Raw genomic sequence first — 26,736 nt, 5'->3', positions numbered from 1 at the left:
AAGAAATTGCAACAAAACTTGGCAAGTGAGACCTAGTTAAACTAAAGAGCTGCCACACAGCAAAGGAGACCATCAGCAGAGTAAGCAGACAACCTACAGGATGGGGGGAATTATTCACAAACTATGCGTACAACAAAGGTCTAATATCCAGAATCTATGAGGAACTTAATTCCACAAGCAAAAACAGCCCCATTTAAAAAGGGGCAAATAAACACTTCTCAAAAGAAGACATACATGCAGCCAACAAACGTGAAAAAATGCTTATCATCACTAATCATGAGAGAAATGCAAATCAAAACCACAATGAGATATTATCTCACACCAGTCAGAAAGACTATTTTTTTAAAAGTAAAAAAAAATAGCAGATACTGGCAAGGATAAGGAGAAAACGAAATGCTTATACACTGTTGGTGGGAATGTAAGTTAGTTCAGCCACTGTGGAAAGCAGTTTGGAGATTTCTCAAAGAACATAAAACAGAACTAACATTCAGCCCAGCAATCCCATTACTGAGTATGTATCCAAAAGAAAACAAATCATTCCACCAAAAAGACATACGCACTCGTATGTTTATTGCAACACTATTCACGATAGCAAAGACATGGGATCAACCTAGGTGCCCGTCAACAGTGGACTGGATAAAAATGTGGTACATATAGACCATGGAATACTATGCAGCTACAAAAGAATGAAATTATGTTCTTTGCGGGAAAATGGCTAGAGCTAGAAGCCACTAAGTGAACTAATGTAACAGAAAACAAACGCCTCATGTTCTTATAAGTAGGTGCTAAACGCTGAGTACCCATGGACACGAAGATGGTGACAATAGACACTAGGACTGCTAAGAGAGGGAGGGAGGAAGGAAAAGGTTGAAAAACTGCTGAGTACCATGTTCAGTACCTGGGTGTTGAGATCATTCATACCCCAAACCTCAGCACCACACAATATACCCAGGTAACTAACCTGCACGTGTACACCCTGAATCTAACATAAAAGTTGAAAAAGAAAAAAAAGAATGGAATCTCTGCTTGTTTTCAGAATAATCAGTTGTGCCCCTCTTCAATTTGAAATTCTCACTATTGGCTATATTTAGGGGTACCCTATTTCCCATCTCATAACTTATTTTAAGAAACACAGAATAATAATGTGTAGGCTTGGGATTCAGTTTTTGAAATAAAACACTTATCTTCAATGACCTTCCTGTACATGTAAAAGCACACCTGTCTGCATGGCAGCAGTTGGACCTCACAGTGTGGATTGTGCCTTCACCCGGGAATGTCTGTGATGCCCCATCACCGTGGTGATGGGATTAGGGATCTCCTGCCCTCAGTCTTAAGTGCCACTGTCTGTGCTGAGTTTTTCGAAGGTCAGAGCAGATTGAACCTTTGTGCTTTCATTTTTCCTGATTTTGATTTTTCTTATGGGGATCCACTTTTCCTGCATTCGAGGTATGTTCATACTGGCCTGTCAAATGCTGTCTTTTCAAATTACTAGTTAATACTTTCAAAATATGTTATTTAAAAAATTATCCTCTGTATTTTCCATATGCAGTTATAAATAAGTTTTGTGGTTATGTTTTATTCCTCATTTTATATATTTGATTCTTGTATCAAGCAGGGTGCTTTTGAACTTTTTCTTCATTTAAAAAATATGTATCATTTCCTTTTACATCCTGCACCCTTCAATGCTCCCGCCCCAAATTAAGTTATTCCCTTGAGGAGAATATGGCAAAGTCTATTTTAATGTAGTTTTTAACCTAATTAAGAACCTATGAAATCATTACTTTCAAAAAGTTTGGAGAAAAGCCACAGTAGTACAGATGGGTTTGAGGCTTTTCACACAATAAAATGTACCTATCTTTGTTTTTGACATGTTTTTCCTTCCTCTCTTCTTTTGTTGTGAAATGTGTATTTAGTTTAATAAATTTGTAGTAAGTCATGTCCATTCACATATCAATTTTAAATGTAATAAGAATGCGTATTGTCTGTGTGTGAAATAAAAAACATTTATTTTTATGCTTTGGGAGTTATCCAAAATCATAGAATTGTCAATTACAGTCAATCACCCAACCTACTCACCTTTCCAGAGTAGTCTTAGTCAAATTTTTTTTTTTTTTTGTTTCCCAATGAAATGCAGTATTTCAACACAGAAAGATAAATAGAATGAATTGGTAGAGACTGTTAACTAAGAACATACAGTTTTATTTATACTCAGAAACAAATAGATCATATACATATATATGAAGATAAAAATTAAAGGGATAATTGTGTAAGTTTGCATGTAGAAAGCTTTGAAAACCTGTTTACTTGTTAATGCTGTTTTGATGTATTGTGTGACTTAGTTCTCCCGACCCATCATCCAGAGCTCTCTCTAGGAGCTAAGTGCTCATCAGTTCTGTGAGTTGGAAACTAAGTTTAGAGGCACTTGTATTTGTTAGTAAATAAGGCAACATGATATTCTTTCACAGGTTTTAGTGCAGAAGACTGAATAGATAAGCTGCTCCACCCAGTACACTGGTGTTCATTTCATGGTCATCTCATATGTTGATCGTGGATATAAAACACTTATCTTCAATGACCTTCCTGTATATGTAAAAGCACGCCTGTCTACATGGCAGCAGTTGGACCTCACAATGTGGATTGTGCCTTCACCCTGAACTGTCTATGATGCCCTATCGTCATAGTGATGGGATTAGGGATCTCTTGCCCTTTGCTCTGCCCCTGTCTGTGCCAGCCAGGCCACTGGGTCGTTGTGGCAGATAGTGGTATCCTTTGTCAAGGGAGTTGCAACCAGGGTGATACATGAGACTAATGATTAGGTGGTATATTGTGTTCTTGTCTTGTCACCAGGTTGTGTAGCTCACAGACTTTTTTTTTTAACATTTCTATAGCTGTCATTTGAAGTTTGTAATGCCATCAAATATCAATAACGGTTCTTCCCATTATTTATCATGGAGGGCACTGAGTGTGCACTCAGGCAGACACAGCACTTTTGACAACTTTATCTGCTTCTTTCAAAACTGGGTCTGAATTATGATAAAGTGGTTGGGTTTAGGCCAAGCAGGTGTATTTCATAGAGCAATGGGTTGGGAGTTCAGAATCCTGGACTTGAATGAGTCTCTGAGCCTTATTAAGCTGTGAAATCTAAAGCAAGACATTTCACTGATAATTAAGCCTCATGAGCACTTATGCTGTATACTTTACCTACATCGAATCATTCAGCCATCACCACAGACATATGGCATGATTGATTTACTATCATCTTTTGCTGGGCAGAAAAAGACGGAGATGAATGTGCCCAAGCTTATGAGCCCCTAAGCAAAAGAGCCAAGATGGGAACCCAAGCATAGGGCCCCAATGCTGAGGCTCTGAACTACTGACCTGCCCTCAGCACTCAGCTGTGGGATCATGAGTCACTGTGCAAAGGACTTCCAACATCTGCATGTATGTCTGGAATGATCTGAGCCTGCAGAGTTCCTACACACTAGCCACATTATAGCATGGTGTCCATGGTCACATAGCTCAGGGCAGGTATTAGTACATGAATAACTTAGGTATGTCATAGTCTTTATGTGAAAGGCACATAAAAGTCCAAATGCTTTTGAACTGGTTGCGGATTTTGAGTTGGAGAACAGCACTTGGGACAACCGATCACATTCTTTCAGCGCTCGGCCACTCCTCAGCACATATCCCAAAGCTGATAAATAATGGGAAGACCCTTTATTGATATTTGATGGCATTATGAACTTCAAATGACCGCTAAAGAAATGTTAAAAAAAAGTCTGTGAGCTACACAACCTGGGGACAAGACAAGAACACAAAATACCACTTAATCATTAGTCTCATGTATCACCCTGGTTGCAACTCCCTTGACAGCTGGTTCGAAGAGCCTCAGTGCTCACCAGGGGCCATCTCCCCGCTCTGCCCTCTCTCCCTGTGGGTTGCCTGGGCTGAACATAGGTAGCTCCTCACATGATGACTGCAAACACAGGGCAAAGGAAGACTGAACGGAAAATGTACGGTTATAGTGGTTATTTTAAAATATAAGCATTTCAGTATTTTCTAATCTTTAATAATTGATTTTTTTGGGGGGGGGCTTTTTTTTTGGCAGAGTCTTGCTCTGTTGCCCAGGCTGGAGTGCACTGGCACAATCTCGGCTCACTGCAACCTCTGCTTCCTGGACTCAAGCAATTCTCCTCCCTCAGCCTCCCAAGTAGCTGGGACAACAGGCGCATGCCACCACGCCTGGCTAATTTTTTGTGTTTTTAGTAGAGACGGGATTTCACTGTGTTAGCCAGGATAGTCTTGATCTTCTGACCTCATGATCCGCCCACGTTGGCTTCCCAAAGTGCTGGGATTACAGGCGTGAGCCACTGCACCCTGCCGGTTTTTTTGTTTTGTTTTGTTTTTCTGATATGGAGTCTCACTCTGTTGCCCTGGCTGGAGTGCAGTGGCACGATCTCAGCTCACTATAGCCTCCGCCTCCAGGTTCGAGGGATTCTCCTGCTTCAGCCTCCTGAGTAGCTGGGATTACAGGCACATGCCACCATGCCTGGCTATTTTTTTTTTTTTTTTTAACTAGAGACAGGGTTCATTATGTTGGTCAGGCTGGTCTCAAACTCTTGACTTCAAATTATCCACCTACCTCAACCTCCCAAAGTGCTGGGATTACAGGTGTGAGCCACCACACCTGGCTGATTATTTTTATAACAAAGAAAATAAATAAATATAATTAATGCTGGTGCATGGAATTAAATCTAGTTTTTAAAAAATTCACACATAAAAAAGAGCAGAACCCCAGACCCTCGATGATAAATGCAGTAGCACTGTATGTGGGTCTGTGGAGGTTGAAAGGGACTTGGTAGATGTCAAGAAGAAGTGATAGTCCTGTGGGCTTTTAAAGCATCTGAAGAAGTGACAGGACGCTGTGGTTGAATCCTAGCATGTATTTTAGTATTTGTTCATTTGGAGTTTGTTTATTTCATGTTGCTTTCATTTGCCATTGCCTGGAAAGCCAAGGGCTCTACTCATTTCCTTCCTGCTCTTTCTTTGCCTTCCTTGGTCCATGAAGAGAATGGTCCAGAAGAAGCTCAATCCATGCTTGTTAACCAGGCACACCCCTAAGTTCTAGTCCCTGAGTCATTCATGAGTAGCACCACCAATGAACTGACAGCCATGCTGTGTCCTTCCACATCCCCTAGGTGACTTGAAGAAGCCTTCCAAAAAGCGTGTGAAAAGGGAGCCCTACTCTACTACCATGGTAAAGTAGCCTGTCTTTGCCTAAGATGTAAATGTTGTTTTCTTGGTTCCTTTATTTTTCAGTTGATATCAACTATGGGAAAATTATCCACTACACTATAGATGTTAGATAATGTTTCCTTGGCAATGGAGGAGGTGTATCTTACCAACTGACACCTGATTCCAGAGGACATACACAATTGGCAGTGTCAGATAGTACACTGCATGTTAAGGGATATTTTCTTCAGGAACAAGTTTTCCACTTTAGATAAGAATTCTGTAATTGCTACCCAAAAATTGTCTAGATAGAAACATCCTTCCAGAAAAGCTCCAGTGCTTTCCTAAGGAAACTCTACTCTAGAGTTGGGGCTTTTGACTTGAACATTCTTTCCCATCTTGGTTGCCCAGAGTTTCCAAGTGAACAAAAGACCTGTGCGAACCATCCATAGCATAGCCTGATTCTCAGAGTGTTTTCCTTCTCTAGTTACAGGTGACTTCATTGAGCCCAATCAATGGTACGTATTCTGGAATCACTCACTGGCTGTTAGAAAAAGATTCTGTAGGAAATCTGGAGCCTAACTGCTGGCTTTGGTCTGGAGAGCTTCCATGATCCAAGACACCTGGTGGGAATGAGGATGTGGGGTATAGTAAAAGAAACTGGTTTTCCAGGTGACAAACTCTTTTTACCTATGTATAGTTCCTGGAAACGTGTTCACATTAGGTGGTGTTCACATTAGGTCATGTGTGGGGGGTGTGTATTAAGGCAGGGGTGGGGTGGGGTGGTCTATATGCAAGTCTGCTTGATTTGCTTGTGAATGTGTGTCTATGTGTGTTGCCCCTAGGAAAAAAGTGTGTTTACCCAGCACAACTCTCAGGGCCATTTTTCTTAATTTAACAAATCAGACCACATACTTTACTTACATTAGTTCAAACCTCATCATGGCCATATGTTGTGAGCTTGTTTATTGAACCCCCACACCAGATGGAGAAACTAAGCCACAGAAATAAATGTGCCCCAGCTCACTTGCTATGAAGTGAGGAGCCAAGATGTTTACTCATACGGTCCCATTGTTGAAGGCCTGAACTACAACTTCTATTTATCAGCCAGTGAAGGGATCACTATTCACCATGCAAGGGAGTTCCAGCACCCTCTATGCCTGGAATTACCCACGCCTGCAGCGATCCCAAACGCCATCCCTCACATAAGAGAGGCTCAGTGATCTTATAATGTAGCTATGTAGGCATCTTCCTGCAGGTGTCACATAGTCCTTAGTGTGAAACCAACATAGAAAGCCCATGTTTCTGATCAAATCACAGGTTCTGAAACACTAAGGGAGGCACTAAGTAGGACAATGTGGTGCCTGCGTGTCATAGCTGGGTCTCCTCAAGACATGGCTTAAGTCCAGTAAGAATTGGGGAGATGCTTTAGAGTCTTGGCCACAGTTCACCACAAGCCCTCTGAGCTACGTACTTTAGGGATCATGATCATTGAGTACTCAAATTACCACTTGGTGGTTATCTGGGTGTCTGTTCATGGCAACTCTCTTGTGAAGCTGGCATGGAGAGCGTCAGTGCTGGAGCTGTGCCTCCCTTCTGAATGGATCCTCCCTGTGTTAGCAGGTGGGTGTAAGCATGGGGGTCAGCACGCTCAGTGGATTTACACACACAGCATTGAAGAGTAAGGCTGGGCTTCGTTATTTATACATTTTCAATAATTGATGATCTTCATAACGTAAAATCAATGATTTACTACACTAGAATACTGTCCCTAGTATTGAATCACATCTCTCAATAAAGGCTTGCTTAAAGTCACATGAGAGTTCCCATTCAACTGATGATACGTGCCGTAGCAGCAATTAAAGCAGTCATTTGAAAAGGCTTTTACTGTAAACTTATGCATGAGCCTGAAGTGGGGGATAAAAGAGGTGATTAGCTCCCCTGTGCAATGTTTCTATTATATGTGGGGTGGAGGACAATTACACAGGAAGGTGATGGAGAGAACAGAGCAAAGGATTGGACAGGTCCATTGAACCCATAAGACTATGGTGAGGTTAGTGAATGAGACTGGTCATTTTAGGTCAAATTTTACCTCGTGTGTTCTTTCCACGCTTTCTTCCAGTAGTTTCTTCTATTTCTTACTAACTAGGTCACTGTTGCTAAAATCCGTACTAAAAGAGGACAAAGCTTTGTAATAACATAAAAGCTAGTAAAACTGTGATAGCTCAAATTTTACAAAATACTGGGGGCTTTTGCCTGAGACCTGGATGACATAGTTGTGTAAGAATGGGGGGTTCCTCTGAAGACTATTGGACTTCTGAGAAGAAAGATCTAAGTTGTCTCTGTGTGATATGGAGTCAGCCTTCACTGCCCTCGAAGTCTGTCTGATAGAGGTGTTGAATGCTCAGTGAACTCCATGATCTTCCTGAAACCCAACTTTGATTCAGCGGGCTCTGCTTGGAAGCCTTTAAAGAGCGGGATCATAAGATTAAACTTGGAACACATGATCACTATTTTCTTCTGGTCTTCTGTCAGCAAGGTGTCAACAGTCCTCTCTATTGTAAATGCATTAACCAGCATCTTCTCTGATAGAAATTTTGAGAAGATACAGCCTGTACACCAACCAGCATTGGAGGCATCATGGCTTCTGGAGAAAGAAGATACAGCCACAAGAAGGTACTGTGGAAGTTCATTAATTAAGTTGATTCAATAATCGCAGTTGTGGGGAGTATTCAGTGTCCCATATGTAAGAGGAATCTATGAAGAGATTAAGCCATATTTTTTAATGTGTCAGAATTCTAATTTGCTTAGTCAGTAAGTATTGCTACAACCACAAAAGTAAATATCCACTTAAAAGTCAATTTTGGTTCATGTTTAAGGATGGACAATGTTTCAAGCCAATGTCTAGAACTTACCTGATGGTTAAACATTAGCATAGATCTCCCTGAAAGAGTGGTGCTATATTATTATTTTTAAATTAATATATTTCTTTAACTAGAGAGTTTTAAATTGACATAAAAACTGAGCATATGGCCAGGTGTGGTGGCTCATGCTTATAATCCCAACACTTTAGGAGCCCAAGGCGGGCAGATCACCTGAGGTCAGGAGTTGGAAACCAGCCTGGCCAACATGGTGAAACCCCATCTCTACTAAAAATACAAAAAAATAACAGAGTGTGGTGGCAGGCGCCTGTAATCCCAGCTACTCAGGAGGCTGAGGCAGGAGAATTGCTTGAACCCAGGAGGCGGATGTTGCAGTGAGCCGAGATGGCGCCATTGCACTCCACCCTGGGCAACAAAAGTGAAACTCCATCTCCAAAAAAAAAAAAAAAAAAAAAATTGAGCATATAATACACAAAGTTCCCATATCATTCTGTCCCCTCACCCTGACTTCCTAATTTCATCTATTATTAACATAACATCTTACATTAATGTGGTACATTTGCTAAAAGTAATGAGAAAATATTGACATTATTATCTGAAGTCTATCATTTGCATAATGTTCATTCTTTCTGTTACACATACATGTGAAGTTTGAAATATGTATAACATTATGTTCACCATTATGTTCTCATAAAGAATATGTTCACATTCCTAAAAATCTCCTCTTCTCGCTCATTAATCTCTGTCCTCTTTCTCCAGGAAGCTTGGCGACTATTAATATTTTCACTGTAGCTTCAGTTTTGCCTTTTCCAGAACGTCGTATAGTTGGAATCATATATTATGTAGCTTTTTCAGATAAATTTATTTCACTAAATTGATGTATATTTAAGCTTCCTTCATGTCTTTTTTATGCCTTAATGGCATAAAATGCACATTAAATCACCAAATAATATTGCATTGAGTGGATGTTTTTATTCACCTCTTGAAGAATTTGGTAGATTTCATGAGAGAAACCATCTGGGTCTGGTGCTTTCTTTTTCAGAATGCTCTTAATGTGAATTCAACCTATTTAACAGACCTAAGCTTATTCAAATGATCTAGGATTCTAGTTGACCTTGGGAAAATTGTCTTTCAAGGACTTAATACATTTCACTGAGGTTATCAAACTGCAGTCATAGAATTGTTCATGATATTCCTTGATTATCCTTTTAATGCTCAACAGTTCAGTAGAGACGGCTCTTCTTTTATTTCTGAAATTGGTCATTTGTGTTATCTTCTTTTTCTTGGTTAGCCTGCATAGAAGTTCATTCATTGTAATGAGCATGTCAAGGAACCAGCTTTAGGTTTTAATGATTTTCTGATGATTTCAGTGTTTTAATTTTATTGACTTCTGTGATGCTGTTTGTTACTTGTTCTACTTGCTTTACATTGCATTCCTTTATTTTCTACAGTTTCCTAATTGAAACATGATATTACTGATTTTAGATCTTGTGATTTTTAATATATTGAATCCAATGCTATAAATTTTCCTCTACAGACTGCTTTTGTTACATCTAGAAATCTTGTCAAGTCACATTTTCATTTAATGTAAAGGTATTTTTAACTTTCTATTAAGACTTCTTATTTAACCCATGAGTTATTTAAAAGTGCATTGCTAATGTGCAAATATTTGGAGATTTTCTGGCTCTCTTACAGTTGTTGATTTTTTGTTGTCAGGTATGTGTTGCAAAAGCAGTCATCCATCTCATCTTGCCACCACCCAAGATGGCCCAGGATGTGGGCTCTCCCTGAGTGAATCTTTGGCCATCTGCCAACCTGATGTGGTCAGCCTCCTTCTTTAGAAAGGGCCATTCTCAGTTCTGGCAGGGAGTTTTCCCAAAGTTGAGAAGGTGACATTCTTACTCCCCAGTGCAGCCTGCACCTCTGACCCGTGGTCAGCAGACAGGACAGACACGGGCAGGCTCTGTGTCCTAAAGCAGATGGAACTGTGCGACCATCCTGATTGGAAATTTGTGAGGATCACCGTGTTACTCAAGTAAGGTCTTTGGAAAGTGTCGTATTACTACTGTTTGTGAACTGCTTGTTGGTGGCCTGGCTGAGCCACACACTTTATGAAAACCAGGACCCCTCAGCTGGTGTGGGTGTCTATGCAGCCTGAGACCCTCATGTGAACAGCCTCGTGGCAGCTGTCTTTGCCCCTTGCCACCATCAGTGCCTCCTTGTTCCTGGGCACTGCTTTCTCTGATGGTGCTCCATTGTTTTCCTGCACCTCAGTGTCTACAGCTGGATGTCTCTTCCGCAATCTAGGCGAGGGGGCATCAATGGCAGTTCTGCTGTGGCACTGCCCTCCTTCTTAGCTTGTCTTGCTCTGTCTTAGGCTCCCTCAAAGATCCCACCCTTCAGGTTCTTCCACAAGTTTCTTATTGAAATCCGAGCACAAAACTATGACCAATATGACCAATCCTATACCCACTGAAGACATGAATGAAGAATTAAAACAATTCTCCATGGACTCTACCATATAGATCCCTAGAAGTAATTTCTTAAAAAAAAAAAAAAACAAGAAAGATGTAATAGTTTTCCATAAATTAGAATACCCTACATGTACAATTAAATGAAATGGCTAGTATAGTCTTGAAACCAAAACCAGATAAGGTAAATTAAATTCTGCGATATTTTAAAATACTGTGAATTCTGACTCATGTGCGTTAATCTCAAAATATGAAATGGTGGATTAACATTGAAAATGCGATAAATAAAATTAGCTAACTCAAAAGGTTAATGGAGAGAAAATGTGATTATTGCAATAGATTCAGGAAGTTCATGGATAACATTCGCTATATATTTACAGGACAACTATCTGATTAACTTTAAGTGACCTGTGACAACCATTTGAATTAATGCTGCTTTAACAGCATATCTCTTGGCTTGTTAAAAACCCAACCAGAATTGCCATAACATTAATTTATTTTTAACACCTATATTGGGTGTGAACCCACCCTAAAGTTTGCCCACTGAAAAGGTCTACAATTTGATGCTTTATTAAATTGATACTGTGTGCACCCATCGCCATGATCTAATTTAAAAATGTTTCCCTCACCCAAGTTCTTTCTTGCACACTGGCAGTTAATCCCCACTCCCATCTCCAGCCCTAAGCAATACTGCTATGATATTCCATCTCCATAAATTTCCTGCTTGTTTAATAGAAATGGACATATATATATATTTGGAATCTGACTTCCTTCATTTAGCATACTATGTTTGAAGTTAATTGACGCTTTAGCAGGTGCTGGTCATGTGTTTTCCTTCATAGTCTGCTGTGTTTATTCATACAGATAGTGTTTATTCATTTACCAGTTAATGGACATTTAATTATTTTTGTTTTTTTCTATGGTGAGTAGTGTAACTTTGAGCATCATACGCAGTCATGTAATGCATAATGACATTTTGGTCATTATTATTTTTTTTTTTTGAGGCCCAGGCTGGAGTGTAGTGGCACAATCTCGGCTCACTGGAACCTCCACCTCCCAGGTTTAAGCAGTTCTTGTGCCTCAACCTCCCGAGTAGCTGGGACAACCGGCACACGCCACCACACCTGGATACTTTTTGTATTTTCAGTAGAGACAGGGTTTTGCTGTGTTGGTCAGGCTGGTCTCAAACTCCTAGCCTCAGGTGATCCACCCACCTCTGCCTCCCTAAGTGCTGGGATTATAGGCATGAGCCACTGCGTCCGGCCTAATTTTTTTGAGAAACAAGAGAACTGTTTTCTAAATTAGCTTTGCCAATTTATATTCTTACCATGATGCATAGCACTAATTTCACTGTACAATGTATGGTAGGCCCCAACATGTAAGAAATGATGAAAGTAACACATAAAGATTAGTATAAAACAAATAAGATTATCATTGTTGCTATCATCTTTGTCAAGTTCTCAAAACAATCTAAGAGTATATTTTTATATAAATATGCTTGGCAACATAGCTGACAAAAGCATTATCAGTTACATTTATCAGTAACAAAGACATAAATCTGAAGGGGAAAAATACTTGTACTAACAGCACAATATCAGAATTAACATAAAAATTCTGCTGGTCACTTTGGACTATTTCATTGTCTGAGGCAGTGTTTTGTAGACAAAGGAGCATCTATGGAGCACCTGAAGTAGGGGATCAACAGAACTTGGGTTTCAAAAGTTATCTGGGTTTAGAGTGTGAAACTTTGTTGGAGGACACACACCTTGCGTGAGCGAGGTGCCTTGGTGTGTGTTGGAGGTACAGCATGATGGCCTAATCTTGAAGGCAAAGGAAGGCTGCTGGCAAGACTGGCATCTGGGCTTGGCTGTGTGTGTTTTCTATTGTGGGAAAATAAGTATAATAAAATATTTATCATTTGAACCTTTTAACCAAAGTGTGCACTCAGTGGCATTCAAAATATTCACAGTGTTGCATAACCAACACCACTATCTACACCCACAATTTTGATGATTTCTTACAAAACCTTGTCCACCGTAAGCAACATAGCACCTTCCCCCTATTTCCAGCCCATGGTGATTCCTATCCTATTTTCTCTTGTATGAATTTGACTATTCTAGGCACTTCATATAAGTACAATTAGACAATATATTCCTTTTGTGTCTGGCGTATTTCACTAAGCATAATGTTCTCAATGTCCACCCATGTTGTATCATCTATCAAAATTGTGCTCCTTTTTTACAGATGGATGATGTAGCATTGCATGCAGACCACCTTGCTTTTATTACATTCATTTGTTCACTGATGGTTGGATTATTTCCACCTTTTGGCTCCTGTGAAAAGTGATGCTACAAACATTAGTATACAAACATCTGTTTGATTTCTGTTCTCTATTCTTTAAGAGTAGAATTCCTGGGTCTAACGGGAGTTCTATATTGAACCTTCTAAGCCACTGCAGACTGGTTTCCACAGTGGCTGCAACTTTATCCATTTCTACCAGCAATGTATCGGGGTTACAATTTCTTTACATCCTTCTTCACACTTATTTTCCTTTAAATCATACTAGTATGTGTATATTGGTGTCTACTTGTGTTTTTCATTTGCATTTCCATAATGACTAATGATACTGAGCAGCTTTTCCTGTGCTACTATCTGTGGCTGTATCTTCTTTAGGGAAATATATGTTCGAGTCTTTTGCCCATTTTTAAAGAGTCATCTGATTTTTATTTAGTTAGTTTGTTGTAGATTTTTGGGGGGTTTAACATGTATTCTAAATTTTAGTTTCTTACATGATAAATGATTTGCAAATATTTCCCCCTTTGTGTAGAACTGTAGATTCACAAACTTCATTAATTTGTATGAAATCCTCAGCAGTTGACCCCAAAAGGATAAGACTGAAACAGTATTTTAGGAATAGTTGAAAGTATGATCACCACAAAACATAGGCGTAATCAAATCTCGCAAGCTACACATAAGGCACAATGATAAAGCAGCAAAGGGCCATCTGGTGATTAGTTCACCACACTTGTTGCAGCTGTTTGCGCTGCAGAGTTAAACCATACCAGCATTCAACCCATGTCTCCTCTCTTGAAGTAAACTGTCGTATGTTGGCTGGCCTGAACAAGCGTAGATATTCTCCATCCTCAATTAATTATGCATGCACGACAAAGAAAAGGAGGCCTGGATGAAAAAATATTGTGTGATTATAATTATGCTTTAATTAATTTTAAAGGATATAATTTCAGTATTTCTAATTCTCCCATTAGCAGTTATAACAAAGGATTAGTGAATAAATACAATAGACTGTTTTGCCTAGAATTGAATCCAATCTGTCTGTTAAACTTTGCTTTTGTTCAAGTGCAAAATGCTAAAACACATAATAACTGCAGTGACAGCCACTGTGGATCCACAGAGGTAAAAATGGTCTTGGGACATCAATCCTACAAGCTAATATTGTTTTATAGGGTTTAGAAAATCATTTAGCTGGGTTTCAAACCTTGCAGTGTGAGCGGTGGGACTGTCATCAAATTATAGCGTGTACTTCAGTGCCATTTGTAGACTGACTCATTGCCGTTGCCTTAAGTTGCCATCAGCAAAATGCCAGGGACTCCATTTCTTGCTCCTCGGCTCCTCGTTCTTGCCTGTCTTTCCACGAGGGAAGATTATCTAGCAGCAGCTCAAGCTGTGCTTTTAATGAAACACATCCACACACACTGTCCTGTTCTCCACATTAAGCAGAGCTCCCTGAATAACTCATGAACAAAAGCATCGATGACTAACCGTTGCTCTGTGTCCTCCTAGCCTCTGAGGAGCCTCCAGCTCACAAGGACAGAGGAGGTGGAGAGAGGCCAGTCAACGCGAGGGTAAGGTTGCCTTGCTTTCCCTGAAATAGAAATGTTCCTTTCTTGGCATCTTTCTTTTTCAACTGACTTTACATGTGAAAAAATGACAATGTCCATGACAGGTATTAAATGCAGTTTTCTGAGGGGGTGGAAGAAGTGACTCTTAGCAACTGATATGTAATCCAAAATGACATTTAGCTGTGATGGCTTCAGGTTGTAGATCGTGTCCTTGGGGTCCTTGTCCTTGGAAGCAATGTCTTCTCCTTGGATTCAGTATTTTGCACTTGCCAACCTATGTGGACCTGAGAGATCCACCATCCAGAAATTGATGTCTTTTACAGTGTGTATCCTACCCTTGTTTGGGGAGCCTTGAAGTTGACTACACTTTCTGATCAAGTTTTCAGTATTCATTGAGAGAAACAGAGCCTTGTGCAAACAATCCACAACACGACGTACCCCTCATAAAGTCTTGTTTCTGTATTGCAGGTGGTGCGGGTGGCCCCTCTGAGGCCTGGTTTTGGTAAGTATTCTGGAATTACTTGCCAAGAAAACAATCTGGATGCCAAGAAAAGTGTGGCATCTTTGCAGGTTTCAATGTGAAGAGCCACCCTGATCCTGGGATCGTGATAGAAATAAGCATAGGGGAAGTGTTTTTTTAAAAACCTGAATTCCCCAGGGAAAAGTTATGGCCAATTTTTGAGGAAGCAGCTGTGCTCCCTTTTGGGTGGTGCTGAGTTGGGTGCTTGAGGATTGGTGGTGTCTTGTGTGAGGCTGCATCGTGTGGTGTGAATGTGTGTGTTTCTGTACAGGTGAGGCTGTGTGTTTTCTCAGGAGAGATTTCCCATTTATACAGCCCAATCGCCAGTGTCCACTTCTAACAATGAAATCCACCCTCGCTCTACTCTTTCTGTACAGTGACTCCTCCACCCTCACCAGAGCCATTCCCGGGTCTGCCTTATTATCCCCACTGCTCAGGTGGAGAACCTGAAGGGCCAAGGGAGGGGCCCCAGCTCCGGAGTTCCTGAATGAAAAAGTGAAAACACGAACCCAGGAGTGTGGGCCAGTGCTGACGCTGACATGCACTTAGTCATGGGGTGTTCACCACCACACAGGGAGTCCAGCATTCATGTATAAGCCCTAAAGCACCGAGCCCAAAAGGCCCCAGACACTGCCCATCATCATAAAGTGGCCTCCGTGGTCACACAACCCAGGGCAGTTATAGGCTCATCTCCCCACGGACCGGCATAGTCATCAGTGCGTCAAAAGCACAAAGATCCCCAGGTGTTTGGGTCAGCTCACAGATCCTTTTTTTTTTTTTTAACTTTTATTTTAAGTTCAGGGGTACATGTGCAGGATGTGCAGGTTTGCTACATATGTAAATGTGTGTCATGAAGAGTTTGTTGTACAGATTTCGTCACCCATATATTAAGCCTAATATCAGCTATTTTCCCCAATCCTCCCCCTCCTCCAAACTTCCACCCTCCAGTAGGCCCCACGCTCACAAATTCTAAGAGGAGTGGGGGACCACAAAGGCCAGTGTGGCCCACTTCAGTTGTGAAGTTAATTTGCTCAGCAACTGGCCAAAGTCTATAAGGATGGGTGATGTATTTTAGTAGATTTAGTAATACTATCTTCCCAAGCCCTAAAATGCTCAAATCCTGCCAGCCAAAAATGGTGAGGAGGGACAGATAGGAACTCTGTGTGGCACTTGGTTATTAGCCTGGCTTCCATCCCTTAGTGGCAACTCTCTTGTATATGTGGGTTAAAGACCCTCAGCCTCAAGCCAAGCCTCCTCCATGAGGAGCCATCTCACTATTGACTGCCTAGTGCAGTGTATGGCCACCAGCCCAACTGAAACAAAATGTTGCTTTAAAACAAGTGTAAATCTCATACAACAAGCAAATGCAGAAGCAGTGTGGTCTTGCAAGTTGCAAAGAGCACAGTTACAGTTTCGCTGGACTTCAACCTGGGTAGAAGACATGAGGGAACTCTCACTGAATCACGGCAGAGTTCAAGGCCACTTGTAGACTATTGCATGTTATAGAAGGTGACCCTTAGCTAGTAAGCAAAGGCCTCTGTTTCTAATTTCTTCCCTGTTCATCTTCTTGGTCATCCTTCTTCTGCAAGGGAAAAGAGCCCGAGCAAAAGGCAGTTTCAATATTAATCTGATCAAGGTTTTGTGCAGTTTATTATCATCCAGGTAATCAGGTGCAACTCGGTCTGCCTACCAGCCCCCCACCCCTGCTCTGTGTTTTCATTTAATAAATATTTTGGTCTACTTACTATGTGCTAGATTTTCTGGAGACCGCAAAGTAAATGAGATAGAATCTTTATGTTGACAGCTAAGTTAGATTTAACATAACTGACAAAAATTAAAATTTCTGATTTCTTGCAAAAATATTTTGTATGTATGAATGCATACTGAATGTAAAGTGGTTAACAAAAAAAATCACACTTGCACTCATGGAAGGCTTTTCATGAATTTGTCAATTTCTATTTTTTTATATTTCCCCACTTCACTGGATAATGCATATCTGAACCTGGAAACTGATTCCCACTGCAGAAAGTGTTCTGAGTCATGTCCCTTAGCTTCACTAGTGCAGGTCCACCCGGGAGGATGGCCTAGCATCAGCTGGGCCCATGCTGTGATCAGCCACCTCCAGGCACCCACACCAAGCAAGCTCCCTGGGTGATTCACCACCAGGGCACTGACCTTTACTCTGTGTTCTCCTAGCTCTTTGTGGGTACGCTGTACAAGACATCTCTAAAGAAGACACTGTATATGACATCTGTAATGAGGATGCTGTAGACATCTCTGATGAGGACACTGTAGATATCTCTAATGAGGCTTCTGTACATGACATCTCTAATGAGGCTGCTGTATGTGACATCTCTAACGATGCCGTAAACATCTCTAATGAGGCTGCTGTACGTGACATCTCTAATGACGCTGTAGACATCTGTAATGAGGCTGCTGTACATGACATCTCTAATGAGGACACTATAGAAGACATTTCTTATGAGGACACTGTATACGACATCACTAATGAGGATGCTGTACGATACCTCTGTAAAAAAGATGCTACCAAGGTAAGACACTTTCCTTTGTCTTGAACAGAAATGTTGCTTTCCTGGCTTCTTTCCAATCAGATGTAGACATGAACATCTGCCAATGTGGACTATTTATGACATCTGCAATTCCCTTGGTGTGGTGCTACTGATTGGCAGCCTCTCATCAACCCATGCCGGGCACACTGGGGCGTGGTAGATGGCAGCATCCATGATCCACTGCAATGTAGAGGTGTTTCCCTCCACAGCAGTTTTCCCCTGTGGATTAAGAGTTATGAAACTGCCAATCTAAATACACTTTAAAGATAAATTCTGTGGGAAAAGGTGTTGTCTTTTCCACAGGTGTCCTCCGTGCTAGTTTTGGGGGACTTCGATCTCTGACTCAATCACTATACCCCTTCTAATTTTCTCAAGTTGTTGAGAGAATATCAGATCTGTGTGACGTGCATGGCAACATTTCACCCCCTAATGTTTTCTTTTCTATAATTGCAGGAGCCATTGACACTGGAGAATGGTACGTACCCTGAAATAACTCATTTCCTGAGGGAAAAACATTGCCTCTAGGGTACAGAAACCTGATTCTGGGCTCCTTTTGGGAAGGAGGATTTGGGGTCTGGTGAGAGCAAATGATTTTGCAAGTATAAAACCATGTCCAGAGAGGCTGTAGGGATATCTGTGAGCCCAGAGGAAACACCAGGGGATCCTGTGTGAAGCACCCGGGCTTCAGCTGGGGTGGGAGGAGTGGATGGGCCTCTCTCTAATGACTTATCCTGATGTTTGTGTTTCTAAAGATTTGATTGTGGAGAGCATGTCTGATGACGAGGATTTTGCAGGTAGGTAACTACTTTCCACGTAAGAGCCAATGGGAGAGAGTTCCCAGGGGCCTTCGGGGTATCCATGCTGCTTGGGAGGTTGAGGGAGGGGGCATGAAATCAAAACGAAACAGGAAATATGTGTCAAATTGGATTTGGTCTTTTCCAGGTTTATTGGCATAATAGTAAGAACTGTCTCTCTGGGCTATGAGAGTGCTGTGTTATTTGAAGGTGATCTTTCCCGGAACACCTGGCCTTTTCTTTTCTGCCTCTGCCAAACATCACAGCCTTTGGGTTGGATTAGTCAGCACCCCTTGGGATTGTGCAGAAGAGGTTTGGGGTTGCATTGAGTGTCACCTGTGGTGAACAGAATCTGAGGGACACAACTCTCTCACAGGCACTTACTTGATCCTGGAGACAAAGTTCTCCCGGTGTGTGCCCAGGGGTGCAGGAGAAATTGACAGTCGGCCTCTAAACTTTTAGGACTTTAAAAAGCACTCATGTTTCCATCCTTGCTGTTGACTCCTAGCTTAAAGGGAGCTCCCGGGGTGAGTGATGGAGGCGGGATCGGACCCTGGCAGTTTGACGGCAACACCTGTGTTCCTCTGCACTGGGCCGTGGATGACATTACACACCTTGGTGAGAATCAGGAATTGAGGCTAATCACATCTGAAATTGAGGTGGGCCTTGAGTCATATAAATAGTTTGGAAAAGATGCATTTTATTACCCTATTGAAAGAAACCATTTATGGCCAGGTGCGGAGACCTATAATCCCAGCACTTTGGGAGGCTGAGACAGGCAGATCACAAGGTCAGGAGATTGAGACCATCCTGGCTAACAGTTAAACCCCTTCTCCACTAAAAAAAAAAAAAAAAAAAAAAATTAGCCAGGCGTGGTGGCAGGTGCCTGTAGTCCCAGCTACTCAGGAGGGTGAGGCAGGAGAGTGGCATGAACCTGGGCGGCGGAACTTGCAGTGAGCCGAGATCATACCACTGCACTCCAGCCTGGGCAACAGAGCGAGACTCCATCTAAAAAAAAAAAAAAAAAAAAGAAAGAAACCATTTATTTCTCACTCCAGCAGGATAAATGGTTTTCAGTGTCCACTTAACTGCTCATTGACTCTTACTGTAGATGAGGAGGTGGCCAGCAGCCCCTGCCCTCCCCCAGTTGTAGGCCCAAGGTAACCAGCAATTGACTGGATATAATGGAAGAGTGGTGCATTCGGAGGTATCTGTATTAATGGGACCCACATGATATGGATGAGAGCTATTAGGGTGAGAAAAAGCCTGGGAGCACAATGAAATATTTAAATATTAAACAAAACATTGTTGAAATCTCCATTGTACTTTAGTAGTTGAAGTCATTCTTGTGGTCATCACTGCCTTTCCCAAGCATAACAAGCTACTTAATATCACATGGACCCGTGCCATGAGGAATGATGATCAGTTTGTAAAATGCCAATAAAACAATTGCCTGTATAAGCCACAATATTTCATCCATATATTTCAATTTCCATGTGTAAGTATAGTTCAAATGTCAGAAATTTATTATTATCTAATAGAATATTCATGGTATATCAATGAGCAATAATTATCATACTATTTCTATTAACAATTATTTGTATGATGAAAAAAGCAGACTCCCATTCTTGGATTTTTCTCAGTTTGCACACATTAGCACGACAGGACCATGTCCATATGATATGTGCCAGCAGGAGGCCAGGACCAGAGGCTTTTCTTGTTAGCTAAGATTTCTAAATGTATTACATATTCATGGTTAGAAATAACTCTAAATATCATAAAAGGTTAGCAAGGAAGTTTCCCTTCCACTCTGAACTTCCAAACACCAAGTCAACATTTTTGCTTGCATATCATTTCTACAATCTATGTGCAAATAGAAACATGCACCTGGAATGCATGCTGATGTGTGATTGTGTTTACACAAAGTCCTCTGCCCCTCTGCACATATCACTGGGCAATGCACCTTAGTTATCATTCCACATTTTCAAATGTAAATCCACTGTATTGTTTCAGAGCTATAAAGTACTGCACCCTATGACTATTCCCAAAATTACTTAAGCACTCATTATGGGTATCCATTTGTTCTGTTTCCAGTCTTGCTTTTACAACCAATGCTGTAGTGAATAGCACTATGTTGAGTAGAAGTGGTGAATGTGGGCATCTTTGTCTTGTTCCAGTCCTCAGGGGGAATGCTTTCCACTTTCCCCCATTCAGGATAATGTTGGCTGTGGGTTTGTCACAGATGGCTTTTATTACCTTAAGGTATGTCCCTTCTATGCCGATTTTGCTGAAGGATTTTAATCATAAAGAAATGCTGTATTTTCTCAAATGTTTTTTCTGAATCTATTCAGATTATCATATGAGTTTTTGTTTTTAATTTTATTTATGTGATGTATCACATTTATTGACTTGCATGTGTTAAACCATCCCTGCATCCCTGGTATGAAACCCACTTGATCATGGTGGATTATCTTTTTGATATGCTGTTGGATTCAGTTAGCTTGGTTGTAGCATTTCTTATTATTCCATCTGTGGAATGTATTGGTTTAAGTAATGAAAACATGTTCTATCTTCACTGCTTCACAACTTGTGTTTCTTTAACAGCCTTCCCAATAGGGCAGCATAAAAGCAGGAGCCTTGCTAGTCTCCCCTTAACCTGGAATCCCCCCTTCTCCACAGCTCGCTCACTGGACAGGATAGACTGGGCGCCCAGGCCTCAAGGTAAGGACACACTGTCACCTAGAGGTCCAGTGTCTGGGAAGGCCAACCTTGGAGGGGCGCTGCCAGCTTTACAGTGACAGAGGTGTTGGGAGGGACTGACCACCAATGCATAAGGCTGTGCTTTGTTGGTGACGTAAAGGATTATTTCTCAAATTTTTGGGGAGGGACAATCTCAAGGCCTCCCTTGGTCCTGGTGCTGGCTCTGCACAAAGGCAGTAAGACAGGGATGCTGGTAAGGCCTGACCTGTTGCGGTGCTGGGGAGGAAGGTGCTGGGCTGAAATTCAGGAGGCTGAGGATGCAGCAGTCCCATAGGAGGTACACGACCTTCAGGATACATTTTCTTCATTGATGATCAATGGAAATGAGAAATCACTGGCTATTTTTTCTATCCTTGGAATCTACTCTCTACTGCTCGTGCTGTTCCTGTCTTTTGGGGAAGATGGAGGATCAATCAGTGTGCACTGCACTGAGTGGAAGGAAGGAGAGCTGTGACAAAAATTAAGGGAGGATGAGAGACATGGGGGCCCTTCATCCAGGTGCTTGCAGAGTCTTCCTGAGGAGGAAAGCCCCGTGGCTCCCTGGGGAAGGAGCAGGGAGGGCTGCATGACTCCCACAATGAAGGGTGTGGTATGTCTGAGGACACCCAGGCTGGTCTGTTAAGAGTCAGTGGCAGAGTGAGAAGCAGCAAGGCCAGGAGGGTGGCTGGAGGCCAGGCTCTGGATCATTCTTCATGTGATGGAAACAGCCGGAGCCCAGTGGGCTGGGAGGTGCAGGTCGCGGTGGCTGATGACAGAACAATGTGGAGAAAAGTGTGATGTGTCAAATCCTTACTTTGTTCTGGGCATTGTGCTAAATGTGGCCCATCCCATTTAGGGGCCGAAAGTTGCAGAGGTTTAGGAAGCTCGCCCATGATACCGGAGCCCCCATCTCCTGCCCTAGGGCTGTCCCCCTTCTCACCCAGCCACCACCTGTTTCGGGGCAATACACAGAAGTGGTAACTTCTTACGGATAGGCAAGTAAATTCTGCTGTTTTTGTTATTCACAGAAAAAAACACTGGCTTATGTGGGTAGGGAAGGTGACATACCAGAAGCATTTCATCTGGTTATTTCTATTAACGTGAATCCTATAGTATTGAAATGCATAGGTTAGCATTTTTGGCCAATTTACTCAGCATTCTAGGTTAAAGGCTTTTATTTAATTAATTAATTTGTTTATTTTTGAGATGGAGTTTCACTCTTGTTGCCCAAGCTGGAGTGCAACAGTACTATCTCGGCTCACTGCAACCTCCACCTCCCAGGTTCAAGCGAGTCTCCTGCCCTCTGCCTCCTAAGTAGCTGTGATTATAGGCTCATGCCACCATACCTGGCTAATTTTTTGTATTTTTGGTAGAAATGAGGGTTCACCGTTTTGGTCAGGCTGGTCTCGAACTCCTGACCTCAGGTGATCCGCCCACCTTGGCCCACCAAAGTGCTGGGATTATGGGCATGAATCACCACGCCTGGCGTAAAGGCTTTTAAAACTCACTTGTATACGTTGACTTAGTTTTCTTTAACCTTGTAGAAAAATACAAAATGGCAATCTCTTTTATCACACAAATAATGTCTTTTTAATAGTGATTTTTTTCTAATTGATATATTATGTACTTTTCATTCACTAATTATTAATTGCTTACATTTGAAGTGTTTTATGAATTAATATTTACTTGCATAGATGAAGATGACTAGTCATAGGCATTTTTACTAACCAATACTCATTAAGCATAGCATGGACTCATGTGATGTCAAGGAGCTATTTTATTTGGTAAAAGGAAAAAGCCCAAGAATGAATGCAAGAACTGAAACAGTGGAGACACCTAGCATGACTTGTCTAAGATCTAAATCATTTTGTTGTCTTCCCAGTGTACTTATCCTGATCATTGTCATCAGCATTGATTTGGTCATTTTAGCACAGATTTCTCAAAATGGGTAACTCCATAACAGTTGGAAGCTTATGAATTCATATAATTTGTAAGAGCACAATTTGGGAGTACCTATTTTAAAATTCTAATAACCTGGTAATTTCATCCACGTCTAGAGTATTTTATGTAAAATATTTCCACAATTAGGAGAAATATGTGCATGGGGATTTTCTATGTAGCAGTGTTTTAATAGAATAGAAAATTGGGACAAACCAAATTTCCATCACAAAGGAAATAGTAATACACTGAATAGTAATACAGCAAATATTATGCAGGCTTTAAACATCAAAAAGGAGCTCAACTTCTGACTTCCGATGACGGTGTCGAAGTAGGTCACAGCTGGTTTACATTTGATTTTCATGTGGGAACTCTGGAAGTCTGCCTTAGTGATTTTACATGTAGCTAAATTTAGCGAATGAAAAGCTATTCGAAGTATGGCAAAATGGAACTTTAAAACAGTATCTTGTCAACAACCAAGAGGACCTGTTTCACATAAAGCCCACGCATTCATCTGCCTGTCCATCATTCTGTCTGTCCACACGGGCATCATTCGTTAGTGGAACTGAGTGCCCACTGTCGAGCTGACAAGCCCATAACCTCCCTGTTTCTAGTCACACATTAATTCTTCGACAAATCCCTTTTGATAGATTGTGATTAAGCTTAGCTGCTATTTCCAATTGCTTCCCCAAACGTACTTCTCACTGTTCTCCCATCACACCCTTCAGCCCATCCATGCAGGTTTCCTTTGCTTTTCTCACCTTACACCAAACTCCCTATTTTTACTCCCACTTTTACCTCCTCTCCAAGACAAAACAAACAAAACTAGCATTTTAAAACTTAGTTGTAATCTTTCTTCCTTCATGAAAATTTCTCCAACAGCCACTCCCATGGCCCTGTGTGTTCCGGATTTTTTTAAATATTGGCTATAAGGTTGAGCAAGTCAGGATATGCTTTTTTGGGGTGCACACTGTTTTGTTTGTATTGATTCTTCCTATTGGAGGCGTGGTCATTGCCTTCTCCTCTGGGGAGTTTATGCCAGTGCTCTTCAATAAGATTGGCAGGCAATTTTTCTTTTTGTACTTAATTTTTTGTATGGTATTGAGATAATATTCTCATCAGATTAATTGAAAGTAGCCCCCTTCATTAATTTTATGGAAATATTTTAATTGGATTAGAATGACAACTCCACTGTAATTTTGGATTTAGCCAATAATACTATTAGGGCTCTGTGTGTGAGAGAGAAAAAGAGAGAAAGGGAAAGAAAGAGACAAAGACCGATACTTCTTAACTACTGATTAAATTTACATAGAAGCTACTGAACTATTCAGGATTTTTATTTCTTCATGAGTTCATTTTAGAAAATTATACTTTCTAGGATTTTGTCTATTTTGTACACATTTTAAAATGTCTTGGCATGATATCCATATTCATATATGTTTACATACATAATGAATACATATGTAGATTTGAATACATATATTTATTCATAATATCCACTGATTGTTTTGTAATCTCTGCTACTTCTGTGGTTATGTCTTCCTATGAATTTCTGATATGAATTTTGATTATTTCCCTTTTTTCTTGATAAATCTCACTAATGACTTTTGTATTAGACTTTTCTGGAAAACAACTGTTGGCTTTGTTACTTCTCCCTAGTATTGTCCTTATTTTCTATTTCATCAATTTCTCTTCTCATCTGTTATCCTTCCATTACATTATCTGCATTTATTCTGATGCTACTTTTTTCTAACTTGAGTTGTATGCTTAATTAACTTTCAGCCTTTCTGAGTTTCCAGCGTAAACAACTAAGCTTATAGATTGCTCTCACATAATGCTCTTTGCTGCATCTCACAATTTTCAGTTTGCACACATTTTATTATTTATTCATAAGAATTATCTAATTGCATTATGATTTTTATTGACATTCAAGTTTAGAAGTATGCTCTACATTTTCTAATGTTGCAACCAATGGTCTTGTGCACCAGTCTTTTCAATTTTTGCCAGTCTCCTTCAGGATGGATTTTAAGATGTTGGATTGTAGGTCAAAGTGTTACTGCTTTGCAACTTTGCTAAATGTTGCCAAATTCCTCTCCACAAGTGCCTAATGGGGCTTTCTTAGCAACAATGTGTGTACAGCCACACTAACATAGTTACATGTGAAACTTCTAAAATTTTGTCTCTAAAGTGGTATTGAGGTGATTTTTAAAATTTTTTCAATGAGATTAAAAGCCATTTCTGTTTTTTCCTTTATATTGTTTGTTCACGTCTCTAACATGCTTACATGTGATTGTTGGTAGTCTTCTTCCCTATATTTAGAGACTTGTTACATTTTAAGTATATTAAAACCTTTGTGATATGCCTGGCCGTGTTTTTTTTTCCGGTTTACCATGTATCTTTTGCACTTTTTTAAATTGAACTTCATGTCACACTGAGGTTTTCTATTTTTATGTAATAAAACATTATAATTTCATTGTGTTCTCTGGGGTGGTTCTACCACTTTCAAGGCTGCTGTTGACTTTCTACAGTAATATGTGTGGCATTGATGTAGAGCAGCCAATGTCTCCCATGTTTTGTAATAATTGATCTTTCTTTGTTTCAGATAACCCTGAGAAATATATTGACTGACTGTCTCCACAGGGCTTATGATTTCTTCTCGGGTTTGAAACATGCCCCCAGATGAGCAAGACGGGGCTGCCACATTGACGGAGCAGCTGCGGGACACACCCAAGAAACCTCCTGGAGAACACAGGGGACATTCACGGCTGGAGGCTTCATCTATGGCCGGGGGCTTCATCCATGAGCTGGGGACTTCATCCATGGGCTGGGGACTTCATCCATGACTGGGGACCTCATCCACGTCTGGAGACTTCATCCGCGACTGGGGGCTTCATCCATGGGCTGGGGGATTCATCCACGGGCTGGGGGCTTCATCCATCACTGGGGGCTTCATCCACGGGCTGGGGGCTTCATCCATGACTGGGGGCTTCATCCACGGGCTGGGGGCTTCATCCATGGGCTGGGGGCTTCATCCATGACTGGGGGCTTCATCCACGGGCTGGGGGCTTCATCCATGACTGGGGACTTCATCCACGACTGGAGACTTCATCCATAGGCTGGGGGCTTCATCTACAGCTGGAGACTTCATCCACAGCAGGGGCTTCATCCTTGGTTGGTTTGCCTGATCTGTATCTGAGCCACAGATACAGATTATTAAACAGATAATAATTTTATTGACTTCCACTTTTATCTTTTTTTTACCGTTTTTGTTTCAAAAGTTGTTTGTTGATAATTTAATGAAATAACTAAACCAGAATTATCCCCTTTTAATTATTTCCTTGTGTCTATATAGAAAGAGTAGATTTAAGAAAACATTGAGATGCCCCTGTCTGTGTTTGTGAATGGGAGTGTTGGGTCTAAAGCCTTTCTCTGTTAGCTTTCCAGAAGATTGCCCCACCTTACACTTGCTTTCTGCGGGTTCCAGAGGCTTCCATTTGAAAGGAGCCTCTCTACCCACTCTGCCTCAGCCCACACCAGCTCTCCTGTAACCCACTGACTTTGTAAACGCTTTCTTCCACCTGCACCTCATTGAATTCAAGACTTTGGAAAATAGTCAAAAATTCTAAAAAGGTGGGAATGGGTGTGATCTGGAAATCCTGGCTGTAATATTTTTAATGGAATCTACTGGAAACTATTAGTTTATGTTTTAAATAAAACCATCCCTTAGCAC

General features: G+C 41.0%; 1 long non-coding RNA gene across 4 annotated transcripts; it reads left to right on the top strand.

Moving 5' to 3' along the window:
- Window positions 1–1,344: 1,344 nt before the first annotated feature.
- FAM230I (family with sequence similarity 230 member I) lies at window positions 1,345–26,239 on the top strand. Of its 4 annotated transcripts, none has more exons than NR_110539.2 (12): window positions 1,345–1,446; window positions 5,199–5,257; window positions 5,720–5,750; window positions 7,825–7,908; window positions 14,387–14,448; window positions 14,914–14,947; window positions 17,162–17,517; window positions 17,989–18,010; window positions 18,288–18,329; window positions 18,838–18,988; window positions 21,009–21,050; window positions 25,647–26,239. It is a non-coding gene; the product is annotated as a family with sequence similarity 230 member I (long non-coding RNA). The 4 variants fall into 4 exon arrangements; NR_165490.1 differs by lacking the exon at window positions 21,009–21,050 and adding an exon at window positions 18,478–18,539; NR_165489.1 differs by lacking the exon at window positions 21,009–21,050 and having other exon boundaries at window positions 18,838–18,947.
- The last annotated feature ends 497 nt before the right edge of the window (window positions 26,240–26,736 follow it).

The sequence above is a fragment of the Homo sapiens genome, chromosome 22 (genome assembly GCF_000001405.40).
Source record: "Homo sapiens chromosome 22, GRCh38.p14 Primary Assembly".
NCBI classification, from domain to species: domain Eukaryota; kingdom Metazoa; phylum Chordata; class Mammalia; order Primates; family Hominidae; genus Homo; species Homo sapiens.
This window is presented reverse-complemented; position numbering and strand designations above follow the sequence as displayed.